Genomic DNA, 12,477 nt, shown 5'->3' on the forward strand with positions numbered 1-12,477 from the left:
TATATAAGATAAAATAAAAATTAACTAATGACTAATGAAATGTTATAAAACAGAAGTCCTTTTAAGCCTACCTTTCAATAACATCTAATATTATTAAAATATTAATTGCATGTAAATTCTCTTTAAAAACTGCCAGAGAGAGAATATGAGAAACAAAGAGTTAATTTTCCTAAAATGCAAAGGCCTGTCACAAATCAATGAGGAAAAGGGAAAAAAACCAATAAAATAACAAAGGATCTGAACTGGGAGTGTAAGGAAAAATTGACATATTACCATAGTTGAGTAAGTAACACACCTTACTTAGCAATGAATTTGAAAAAAAATTACAGGATATTTCTATACAAGGAATAAACTTTGAAATCAATAACAGTAGTATGACAACAACAAAAGTCTGTATCTGGGAAATTTGAAATACACTTCTAAATAACTCTTGGATTGAAAAGGAAATAATAAATGCCTTAGAAAAAACGACAATGAAGGTTCTACTTATCCAAACCTGTGGAATACCATGAAACAATGCTCAGAACAATTTATACCTTTAATGCATTTATAGGAATACAGTGAAGATGGAAAATGAGTGAATTTTCCTTTCAAACTGAGTTAGCACGAACAATGCAATAACAGTAGGGAAAGTATATGGAAGAAACAAATACAAATAAAAGCAGACATTAATAAAATAGAAACAGAAAAAGGAAGTTGCTTGATAAAGCAAAAATACCAGTAAAATATGTAGGAAAGAAAGTTTAAGAAAATAGGAGATATAAATTTTGTTTAAAAATGGCACAAGAGGCTGGGCGTGGTGGCTCGTGCCTGTAATTCCAGCACTTTGGGAGGCCAAGATGGGTGGATCACCTGAGAATCTGAGATCAGAAGTTTGAGACCAGCCTGACCAATATGGTGAAGCCCCATCTCTACTAAAAATGCAAAAATTAGCCTGGTATGGTGGCATGCACCTGCAGTCCCAGCTACTTGGGAGGCTGAGACAGGAGAATTGCTTGAACCTGGGAGGCTAAGGTTGCAGTGAGCCGAGATTGCACCATTGCACTCCAGCCTGGGTGACAGAGTGAGACTCCTACTCAAAAAAAAAAAAAAAAAAAAAATTGGCACAAGAAATGAGACACAACTGAAGATACTGAGGAGACTGAAAAAAACTAGAATACTATGTAAAAGTTTATTCCAGGGAACTTGAAAGTCTAGATGAAATAAGTCATTTTAGGAAACTATAAATGACCAAAGTTGACTCTAGAAAATAAAAAGCCTGAAATGTACTTATATTTATAATGGCTATTATGAAGTAGTATTATGAAATGCACACTTCTAAGAAATAGGACTGGACCCGGAAATTTTACAGGTGAGTCCACCAAACCTTCATGGAATAAATAAACCCTGACCTGGAGAGTTTGAGAGAACAGGAGATCACAGAAAGCTCATAACCCTTCCAGGAGCACCGTGTTAAAGGACAGTCTTAATTGTCAACACAGAATGAAAGCCGTCTACACTGAATCCATGAAGAATCGGGATGCTGTTTAGCTCATAAATTTATTTAAAAAGAATGTTTCCAAGAGTCAATCCTAATATTCCACAATATGGCATTTCTTCCATTCATTTAAATATTTTTAGGTCTGGGACATTGTTCTTACGGTTGCTAGTAAAGGTAATTTCTGGTACTTTTGTCCTATTGTGAGGGAACTTTAGTTGATTTTCCTGGATTTTCTAACTCCCCCCAAATTTTTTTGCTGATAATAATTTCTCCCTTTCTTGGGTATTCTTTTTTTAGCATTTATTTTTCCTTGTGGTTCAATTTCCAGAACACTTTTGGGGACTAGTGAAAGATGCCAATAGGTAAGAATTATAAAACAGTAGATGACGCCAATGATATTGGGCATGCTTGTCTTGTTCTTGATTCTCATGGACATGACTTCAGGGATGCACTGCTCATCATACGTTTCCCTTGCTCTAAGATATACGTGTATTTTAATCATTCCAAGAAAGTATTTTATCATTCTATTTTGAGAAAACTATATATTTTTTAACAAAGTAAGGCATATGTTTTACATGTGTTTCAAATTCTTCATTAGCACCTGCTGAGAGATGGTCATAGATATGATGCAATATATTAAAGACTAACACTGCATTGTATTTGCATTCTTGGAGGACTCTACTTTGATTTAGGACTATGAAAATAGTCTATTGAATTCTTTTTGGTGTTATTTTTGGTTTTTTACTTATGGTTTTTGCATACGTAAGTGGTGTTCCTCTCTAGTTTTTTTGTTTGCTTAATCTTTGCTTTTGAAACTGTGGTTTTGTTAGTTCTAGAAATGGATTGTGCAGCTTTTATCCCCATTAAAGAAAATGTATATATGGTCCTTTTATATAATTTGACTAAGACATCTAGGTAAATTTTGGTGAGTAGTATCGTATATTCGCAAATACAGAACTTAAAAGGGCTATGTATATTTGACCAGGATATTATAAAACTGTTGAAAACAAGTTCTACTTACTTCCATTCCCAGAAGTTTAAGAGCTTTAGGCTGCATGGTGAAAGAGGAAGAAAAAAAATCAATTTACTTAGATAACTAATGTTAGTAGTACATTAGCAGTATTGTTGATAGTGGACATACGAATGGATTAAAAAGCACTTTGTATCATTAACAATTAATGATAATATCCAAGGAAAAGAAGTGCTTTAATATAGAAACTCTTCTTCTGTCAGCAGAAGTTAATTGAGAAGAAAGCTCAGCAGACGCGTGGCCCTTATTCCAGGTAGAAACCGAGAAGTTCCCTAATAGACATGTAGAGAGCTGTGGGGCTGTAAGGTGGGTGTGAGAGGAGGGCATCATGAAAGATCAGACATTTGAGTTGGACTTTTGATAAGGGTGGGAAAGGCACTGATAGTGGGGAAAGACGTGGCAGGTACACGTCTTTGATTTGATCACAGGATTTGATTTTGGTGCAGGTATGTGGTCTCCCATGTGGGTGAGGGCCAGCTGGTGGAGGGCCTTGGCTGCTGTGATAATGAGTTTGGATACGATTCTCCAGGCAGTGAGGAGCTCTGGGAGGCTTGAAGCAGGGAATGCAGGCATGTCCCTTGCTTTGGAAGATTATGGCAGGTACAGTGGTGGGATAGTAGAATAGGCTGGAGCAGGCAGACAGTAGCCCCGGAGCCCAGGAGGAAGTCTGCTGTGGATAGAAAAGGAGGGCAAATGCAATGGATGGGCGGGGCGGCCCGTGCTCAGGGGAGCTGGAGAATGCCGTGGCTCTGGCCTGAGAGCACTGTAGGAGGCAGGACAGCTGTGCTGGGGACAGGGCGAAGGGCTTGGCTCTGAACCGGCCAAGTTGTTGAAAAGCAAGCGAGGAACCACATGGTACTCGCGAACCACAGAACACTACACAGGCACTGAGTTCTACCCTCTTTGGTCCAAACAAGTTGTTGTAAAGGGTCCGAAAGTTTTTCCGAGTGTAGTTGCAGCGGTAGGCTCCTCCCATGAGGTACTCCAGCACGAGCCCGATGTCTATGAGGCTGATGTGGTAATCAGGCGGAAGGTTGCTCTGTAAAAGAAGTCTGGTCTCAGGCCCTGTGAGAATGCGTTCGCAGTGTGGACTTCATCACACGTCTAGGGGGTAAGTGGCTGTCCTGGCCCCCACTTGGGAGTTCATGTAACAGGTGGGTGGGTGGGGGATTAAACAATATTCAGGCTGGGGAAAGCATCTATCCCTTGATAACAAGGTGGCAGAAAGGGCCAAGAACAGCAGCTGCAATCAACAGGACACAGAATGACTTGAGGAACCTCCTGCCGGTGCTTCTGGAAAGAGCCACAGGCAGTGGGTGAGAGATCTCAAAGGAGGGACAGAACGAGAGGCTGCATGGACAGACAGCGGGGCTCAGGTCAGCAGCCAGGCCACCCCCTTCCCCAACCCCACCCAGTGGCCGCCCTGGCCTGGCGCTGGCGTCAACCTATAATCCGGCTGTCACTGACAGTGTCCCTATCATGGATTTGGATGAACATGCAACTTAAAAAAGATTATCCTTTGCTTTCTTAGTTTTAAATAGACTCTTTACGAAAGAAGGAATTCATTATCTCCTGTGCCTGGAATAATAATACATTTTGAAAATTTAAAACTTGCTCTTAAGAAATGATTTTGTGAAAGATGCCAACAGGTAAGAATTGTAAAACAGTAGACTGACCTTTTTCACATCCCTCACCAGCAGATGAAGTGTGTTTGGTGGACCCAGTCTCTGAAAGAGAAGCATTCATGTGTGTTAAATATGTTTTTCTTGGCCAGGCGCGGTGGCTCACGCCTGTAGTCCCAGCACTTTGGGAGGCCAAGGCAGGCAGATCACTTGAGGTCAGTAGTTTGAGGCCAGCCTGGCCAACATGGTGAAACCCCATCTCTACTAAAAATACAAAAATTAGCTGGGCGTGGTGGTGGGCACCTGTAATCCTAGCTACTAGGGAGGCTGAGGTTGGAGGATCACTTGAACCGGGGAGGCAGCTGCAGTGAGCTAAGATTGCACCACTATACTCCAGCCTAGGTGATAAAGTGAGACCTCGTCTAAGAATGAATAAATAAATAAATAAATAAATAAGTTTTTTTCTTGAACTCTTCGAGCAAAATCCTGCCCTACTCTATATAATTAATGAATTGTGAGAGCTGGAGTGTAACCCACACCAGCCTTTTTCTTTTACAAAACAGAGCTGGTCATGGTTAGAAAGTATCCAACACATTTCAAAAGTTGTGAAATACTTTCTGTTGCATTTTTTTAAAAGAGTATCTTAAGGTGCACAATATAGTGTTAATAATTCATCAAGTTGGCCAGAATCAGTGGCTCAAATTAGTATATTTGAGCCTATTATCCCAGCACTTTGGGAGGCCAAGGGAGGTGGATCACTTGAGGCTAGGAGTTTGAGACCAACCTGGGCAACATGTCGAAACCCTGTCTCTACAAAATTTTTAAAAATTAGCTGGGTGTGGTGGTGTGCACCTGTAGTCCCAGATACTCAGGAGGCTGGGATCGGAGGATGGCTTGAGCCTAGGAGGTTGAGGCTGCAGTGAGCTGAGATCATGTCACTGCACCCCAGCCTGGGCAACAAGAGAGACTCTGTCTCAGAACAAACAAAAAAAAATTCACCAAGTTTTAGCAAGCAGCTGCTGAGGATCATTTCTGCTACTTAAAATCTTACAATAGGGAAGGAAATGTAAATTCTCAAAACTTATATTGTAATAATATAAGCCAAGGGAATTTCATTCAAACCCTTCCAGCAGAGCTCCTGGGTGTGAAACTTAGCTCTATGTTTTACCCCAAAGCCTCATCAAATGTGAGGGTCCCAAGGAACAATTGACTTCTCACCCTTGGTGACATTTCACTCTGCTAATGGCTTGGGGAGCTAGATTCCCTCTTTGTAGCAACAAGTACTCACACACCACCCTTAAATGCGGGACAAGAGTTAATACTGCCTGAGAAAGGAGTGACTGGCGAGGCATGGCAGGAGGTGGTGAGAATATGAACACAGGCTGTGGCCAGCAGCAGGTGAGAAGTAGCCGCCTGCCATTAAGTACGGACCTCCCAGCTGAAGGAGGTCAGATGAGCACATTTATGCACAATATGCACCAGTGACAAACACATTTAGGTGGCTGCCTCCCGCTTCCTTCCCTTTTTCTAGAGCACTCACTGTGTTATAAAGCTCCTCCAGCCTCGGAATGGTCAGAAAGTGTTGCATGTTCACTCCGTTTTCAATCAGGAGCTTCACAAAGTCGACACGATCTAAGACTAAAGCATCTAGCATCGCTTGCTCCAAAGCATTCACCTGCAGGGACCAAGGGCCGGGAGCCTGTGAGTGGCCTCTCAGAGACACAGGGGAGGGGGGCGACTGGAAACACAGAGGAAAGGGTATTCCGAACGCCAGATTCCAGAGCACTCCAGCATGGTACTCTTTGCTCTTTATCTTGGGTAAACACTCCCCATCTCCCCTCTCCTTTCTTCTCAGTTTGGCCTCTACATGTTCCATCCATGTCTGTAAATTATTGTTTCCTTTTAAAAATAGATTGAAGAGGATTCAAAATCTCAGCCCTCCTGGCATTGGCCTGCCCAGTCTCCACCATTTGTTTCCTTGACTGAGAAGTTGTGCCAGGAGGAGCTGCATGGGCAGGCAGCATGACCAGGGTGCCGTGTGGGTGAGTGACTGTGATAAGGGCAGGCACACGTCACCACAGAGGCCTGGTCCCCTGTCTTGCCTGTGTCCTGGTGGCAGCAAGACCAAGAACTGCCATGCGATGTGTGGCTCCAGCCTCCCCACCTAAACTGCTGTTACCCCACACACCCAATCATGGGCTCTGTCTGTCAAAAAAGGGCTTTTTCATGAATTGCATTTATTTGGTGACAACTGATTTGTCTGCTGTATATTCATGCATCAAGCATTGGCATGTCTGCCAGGTACAGAACCATTGCTGAACAGGATGACTCAGGGCCCCTCTGTGGGTGGCATCATTCCCCCCAAAGCAGGAACGTTTGGTGTTTTGGACAACCGACAGGCTCATTGCAGCGAATGTGCTGTTGTAGTTTGAAATGCTGACACTACCCAGTCAAGCCTTTACCCGTCCCTCCTGGGATCAGGGCCCTGGGTGGGACTGAAGCAAGGACAAGAACCATCCCTTCCCCTGGGGAAGGGTGATGCCAAGCTCGTGATCTCTGTGACCTTCCACATACCCAGTTCAGCAGCTCTATCTTCCGGGGGTCAGTTTCTTCCTCCACTTCCTCTTTCACTTTCCCTTTCTTCTTGCCTTTCCCTTTTCCTCTTCCTCCCTTGGTGGTGGCCATGGGTGGCTTCTTCTCCTTCTCCGTGGCTTTGCTGTCCGTCGGGGGTGCCAGGCTTCCCAGGGGCTGCAGTCCACAGCAATCAGAGTTGGGAAATGGTACTAAGGCTCTTTCTTGTCCCCAGACCAGCTCATTGACCCTCCCACCTCTGTATGTGCACACATGCACACCACACATGCACACAATGTACATGTGCACACCCACACAGTGCACACATATGCCCACACATATGTACAGGTGCACACGGACTCCATCCCATACACCTACATACTCAGTCGTCGCAGGCCTGGCTGTCTGAAGAAGGCTCTGATACTGGGAACCACTGTTACTCGTGTGCACAAACACACACTTGACTTGATGCAGCGACTTTGCATACTTAAAGTGGCTGACATTTTGATCCATGTGTGCTTTTGCATGGAGGAAAGGATGCTGAAAGGAGAGTTCAAAGGCACCAAAGACATGTGTCCATAGTTGTTTAATGATGGGAAAAAGTGATTGTGAAGGGGGTACAAGACAATGGATAGAACTGAGGATGCCTGCCTGGATGTAAACGTAAACTGGAGCTTATCGGCGGGTAAAGAAGCTCTCCGCATGTCACTGAAATGCATGCAATGCGGTGACAGACTCATTCATCAAGGGGAGTGTGTGCTCTACTCCAGAGAACAGGAGGGACAGCAGAAGTAGGCCTGGCCCCGTGGCCTTGTCTCCTGGTCTGGTGGAGAATGTGGGAGTGTGTCCTGGTGCAGACACAGAGCCAGCACCTAAACAACCGGACCCTCCAGCTGGCGTCCTCTCTTGCCAGACCCACCCGCTCCTCTTACCAAACGCTCCTGGTGGATTGCCTACCTGAGGAGCCTCCATTTCCTCTCTTCCTATCTCTCCTGCACGCACCCTGCTGCTTCTTCCATCTGTCCTGGGCTGTGGGTTTAGTTGCTGAGAACTGTGCTGGTGCCTGCCTCATGGGCATTTCATGCTGGGTTCTCAGCACATCTGACTCCACTGCCTGCTTCCTCCTAGAGTCTCTTCCCTTGGCTTCTTGGGCATCACAAGCTCCCAGCTTTCCTCTTCCCTGTCTGGCCACTACTTCTCAGTGCAGCTTTAAATGTCAAGGTTCCTCTGGGCTCTGTCCTCAGCCTTCTACCTTTCCACTCTACTCTCTTCCTTGACGACCTCATTGACCCCCACACCACCAGTCACCACTGATTGGCATACAACTTCTCCTTTCTGGCTGCGGCCCACCTCTCTCCCCAGAGCTCCTGTTGCCTGCTCAGCATCCTGCTTGCATGTCTCAAAGACATGCAGCTCCTTATGTCCCAAACCACTCTCAGGACCTACCCTCCGACCCAGTCCTCTTCCAGGGTCCCTTATCTCAGGGAAATGTTACCACAGCTTGCAAGTTGTGCAAACCAGAGAACTGGGGAGCATTGTGACATCTCAGTCCCTCCAGTGCCCTCAATGATTCATCTACCCCTATGTGCAGCCATGTTTAATGCTAAATTTTGCTTAATTCTGATTCTTGCCTTCTTCTTTGCCTCTGCTCTAGTCCAAGGCCTGAATTATTTCAAAGGCCTATTAATAGGACTCTGCACACCTGCCATGGCACCCACCCAGTGCATTTTCCACAGTAACTCCAGAGTGACCTTTAAATATAAAAATGGAAGCAAGTAACTCTCCTGCTTAAAACCCTTAAGTAGGGCTGAGGCAGAGCTTATGTCAGGGGAGGTGTGCATTTATATAGTTCCTGGTCAACATACAAATATGGATGAAAAAGTGTCTTGGCTGACTCCTCATGCAGATAAAACCGTTATGGTCCTGAGTGACAGAGTGACACCGCATCCAACAAATGGTGCTGGGAAAACTGGATATCCACATGCAAAAGACTGGAGTTGGACCCTTACCTTACACCATATACAAATATTAACTCAAAATGAATCAAATACCTGAACATAAAATCGAAAACTACTAATATAAAATGCTGCTGGGCACGGTAGTTCACGTCTGTAATCCCAGCACGTTGGGAGGCCGAGGCAGATGGATCACCTGAGGCCAGGAATTTGAGACCAGCCTGGCCAACATGGTAAAATCCCATCTCTACTAAAAATACAATAATTAGCTGGACATGGTGGTGGGTGCCTGTAATCCCAGCTACTTAGGAGGCTGAGGCAGGAGAATTCCTTGAACCCAGGAGGAAGAGGTTGCAGTGAGCTGAGATCGTGCCGTTGCACTCCAGCCTGGGTGACAAGAGTGAAACTCAATCTCAAAAACTAATTAATTAATTAAACTAAAATGCTTAGAAGAAAACATAGGGCAAAAATATCACTATATTGGATTTGGGAATTCAATTCTTGAATATGACACCAAAGGCACAGGCACAAACGGAAAAATTATTAATAACAAATCCGATGGACTTTATGAAAATTTAAAAGTTTTGTGCAGCAAAAAATACCATTAACAGAGTAAAGGTAGCCACAGAATAGGAGAATATATTTGTACATCATGTATATGATAAGGGGTTCATAGCCAGAATATATAGAGAACTCCTAAAATTCAACAACAAGAAAACCCAACCTGATTCAAAAATAGGCAAGAGACTTGAATAGACATTTCTACAAAGCAGATACACAAATGGCCAATAAACACACACAAAAACGCTCAATATCACTAATCATTAGGGAAATACAAATCAAAACCATCTGAGATATTATCTCACACCCATTAAGATGGCTATTATCTTTTTTTTTCCTTTTATTTGAGATGGAGTTTTGCTCTTGTTGCCCAGGCTGGAGTGCAGTGGCACGATGTTGGCTCACTGCAACCTCCGCCTCCCAGGTTCAAGTGATTCTCCTACCTCAGCCTCCTCAGTAGCTGGGACTACAGATGTGTGCCACCACTCCCGGCTCATTTTTTTTTTTTTTTCTGTATTTTTAGTAGAGACGGGGTTTCGCCATGTTGGCCAGGCTGGTCTCCAATTCCTGACCTCAGGTGATCCACCTGCCTTGGCCTCCCAAAGTGCTGGGATTACAGGCATGTAAGCCACTGTGCCCAGCCAAGATGGCTATTATCTAAACAACAGAAAATGACAAATGTTTGTGAAAATGAGGACAAACTGGAACCCTGTGCACTGTGGGTGGAAATGTAAAATGGTGCAACTGCTGTGGGAGGAGTTTGGTGATTCTTCAAAAAATTAAAAATAGGATTACCGTGTGATCAATGGTTTCACTTCTTGGCATACCCAAAAGAACTGAAAGCAAGTCTCAAAGAAGTATTTGTACACCTACATTCATAGCAGCATTATTCTAAAACATGGGAGCAACCCAAGTGTCCACTGATGGATGCTTGGATAAGCAAAATGTGGTCTATCCATATAATGGAATATTATTCAGCCTTAAAAGGAAGGAAATTCTGACAAATGCTACAACACGGATGAACCTTGAGACATTGTTCTGAGTGAAATAAGCCAGTCACAAAAGGACAAATATTACATGACTCCACTTATAGGAGGTACTAACAGTAGTCATATTCATGGCAACAGAAAGTAGAATGGTGGTTGCCAGTCACAGGAGAGGGCAGGATGGGGAATTATTGTTTGATGGGCATAGAGTGTCCATTTTGCAAGATAAAAAAGCTCTTGAGATGAATGTTGGTGATGATTTTCCTTCAAAAATTGTTAGTCCAAAGTTTTTATGATTCAATATAAATAAATAAATTGCCTTTTGTTACCTGTATATATCAAACGTCTCTCTTTTTCTCTCTCTTCATTATGTTTTTTGTTTGTTTGTTTATTTGTTTGTTTTTTGAGACGGAGTTTTGTTCTGTCACCCAGGCTGGAGTGCAGTGGCATGATCTCAGCTCACTGCAACCTCCGGCTCCCAGGTTCAAGCAATTCTCCTGCCTCAGCCTCCTAAGTAGCTGGGATTACAGGCATGCAACATCACACCCGGGTAATTTTTGTATTTTTAGTAGAGACGGGGTTTCACCATGTTGGCCAGGCTTGTCTCAAACTCCTGACCTCAGGTGATCCACCCGCCTCAGCCTTCCAAAGTGCTGGAATTACAGGAGTGAGCCACTGTGCCTGGCCTCTTCGTTATGTTTAAAAGCATGTTTTAAGAAGAATTTTTTTTGCAAAGCTTTTACTTTAATTAATTATTTTAATTAGCAAATGACAAATTGTATATATTTATGGTATACATGATGCTTAAATATATGTATACATTGTGGAACGATGAAGCTAATTAACATATCCATCACCTCACATACTTATCATTTTTGTGATGAGAACATTTAAAATCTACTCTTTTAGCAATTTTCAAGTGCACTATACATTATTATTAATTATAGTCACTATGTTGTACAATAGGTCTCCAGAATTTATTCTTCTTAACTGAGACTTTGTACTTTTAAACCAAAATCTCCCAATCCCTCACATCCTAGCTTCTGATAACCACATCATACTCTCATGCAGCTTTTATTTTTTGCATTCAATAACAGAAAATATAGATAGAAGAATTTTGTCTAGTAATATATAGCAAATCAGACCTAAGATTGATTTACTGTGTTGGAATTCTTATGTCCTCCCTACCACAAGTTTTCTACTATATGAAGAATTCTAGATAGACTATAGATTCACAGGCACATCCTTTCTTGAGTGCTTCAACTATTAAAAGAAGATTTTGGAGACCTTATATCCCACTGTAGGGAGACAGAGAAGGACTTTTGGCTCCAGGTTACAGCCTGAGCATGTGTTTCCTGTCTTCCCTCCCTCCCCAGATACTATTTAAATGACAGCAGAGGAGTATGAAAAAGAAAAATCTATTTCAGGGAGAAGAGGCGGGCCAGAGAGTTTTTAACAAATTTCTGGAAGCATTGAAGGACCAGTTAAAACTATGGAGAGGAAGCCAAAGCCCAAAATGTGTAATGTGGAGGTTGCTCTTGAGGTGAGACCAGATTTTCCAAGATACAAAGAAGAGGGCATGTGGTGGGCAGAAGGCATGGTGACCGGAAGATGGTCTACAGAGCAGGAGGCCACACATCCCCTCCCGGTCTCCAGGCTGCCACTGTGGTGGGTGCAGAGCAAGCAACTGCATTCCTGGGCTTCACTCCCAGTAAAAACTGGGAGGATGTCTGCTAAAGAATAGGGAGGCCCAGAGCCCATCAGCCCTCTCCAGTCGGCACTCAGCAAAGCAGGAGGTTCAGGCGATACTCTCCTTCCTAAGCAGGGAATTCCTGGGCAGTCCTCCCAGGGAGGAGAAAAACCTGTTGGCAAAATGGGTTTCCATACCAATTAAGCAGTTCTATCCCTCATTCTGTAGTGTGATGGACAGCCAAGGATCTAGAGCATTTGAGAAAATCAACAGCATAACAGAAAAACCCAAAATGAACAAAAAGAACAGCTGACCAGGGAGAAAATAGAGATAATCTAGGGAACAGAAGATAACTTCAAAAAATCTAATTCATATCCTTAGATATTGCATCTGTGAGATGAAAATAGGCTAATAAGAAAATAAAATTGTTAAGGAACAAAAACACTTTCTTAAATATAAAAAGCATGAGTGCCTAAACCTTTAAAAATTGTATAAAAGCTAAAGAAAAAGTTGAGATTTCCAAAAACATACAGCAAAATGATAGAGAAATAAAAAACCGAAAATGGACGGTCAGTCTGGGAG

The 12,477-nt window shown here is 43.2% G+C and overlaps 1 protein-coding gene across 3 annotated transcripts in view; it reads right to left on the bottom strand.

The window, feature by feature from the left end:
- Positions 1-12,477, bottom strand: part of TRPM1 (transient receptor potential cation channel subfamily M member 1) — a 160,096-nt gene that overhangs the window by 42,638 nt on the left and 104,981 nt on the right. For all 3 annotated transcript variants that reach the window (NM_001252020.2, NM_002420.6, NM_001252024.2), the window contains 5 exons: positions 6,707-6,880; positions 5,673-5,807; positions 4,187-4,237; positions 3,409-3,549; positions 2,502-2,531 (listed from right to left, as the gene is read on the bottom strand). In NM_001252020.2, coding sequence (NP_001238949.1) covers positions 2,502-2,531; positions 3,409-3,549; positions 4,187-4,237; positions 5,673-5,807; positions 6,707-6,880 — 531 coding nt within the window. The remainder of the gene's footprint in view (positions 1-2,501; positions 2,532-3,408; positions 3,550-4,186; positions 4,238-5,672; positions 5,808-6,706; positions 6,881-12,477) is intronic.

Source organism: Homo sapiens, chromosome 15, assembly GCF_000001405.40.
Source record: "Homo sapiens chromosome 15, GRCh38.p14 Primary Assembly".
Lineage (NCBI taxonomy): Eukaryota > Metazoa > Chordata > Mammalia > Primates > Hominidae > Homo > Homo sapiens.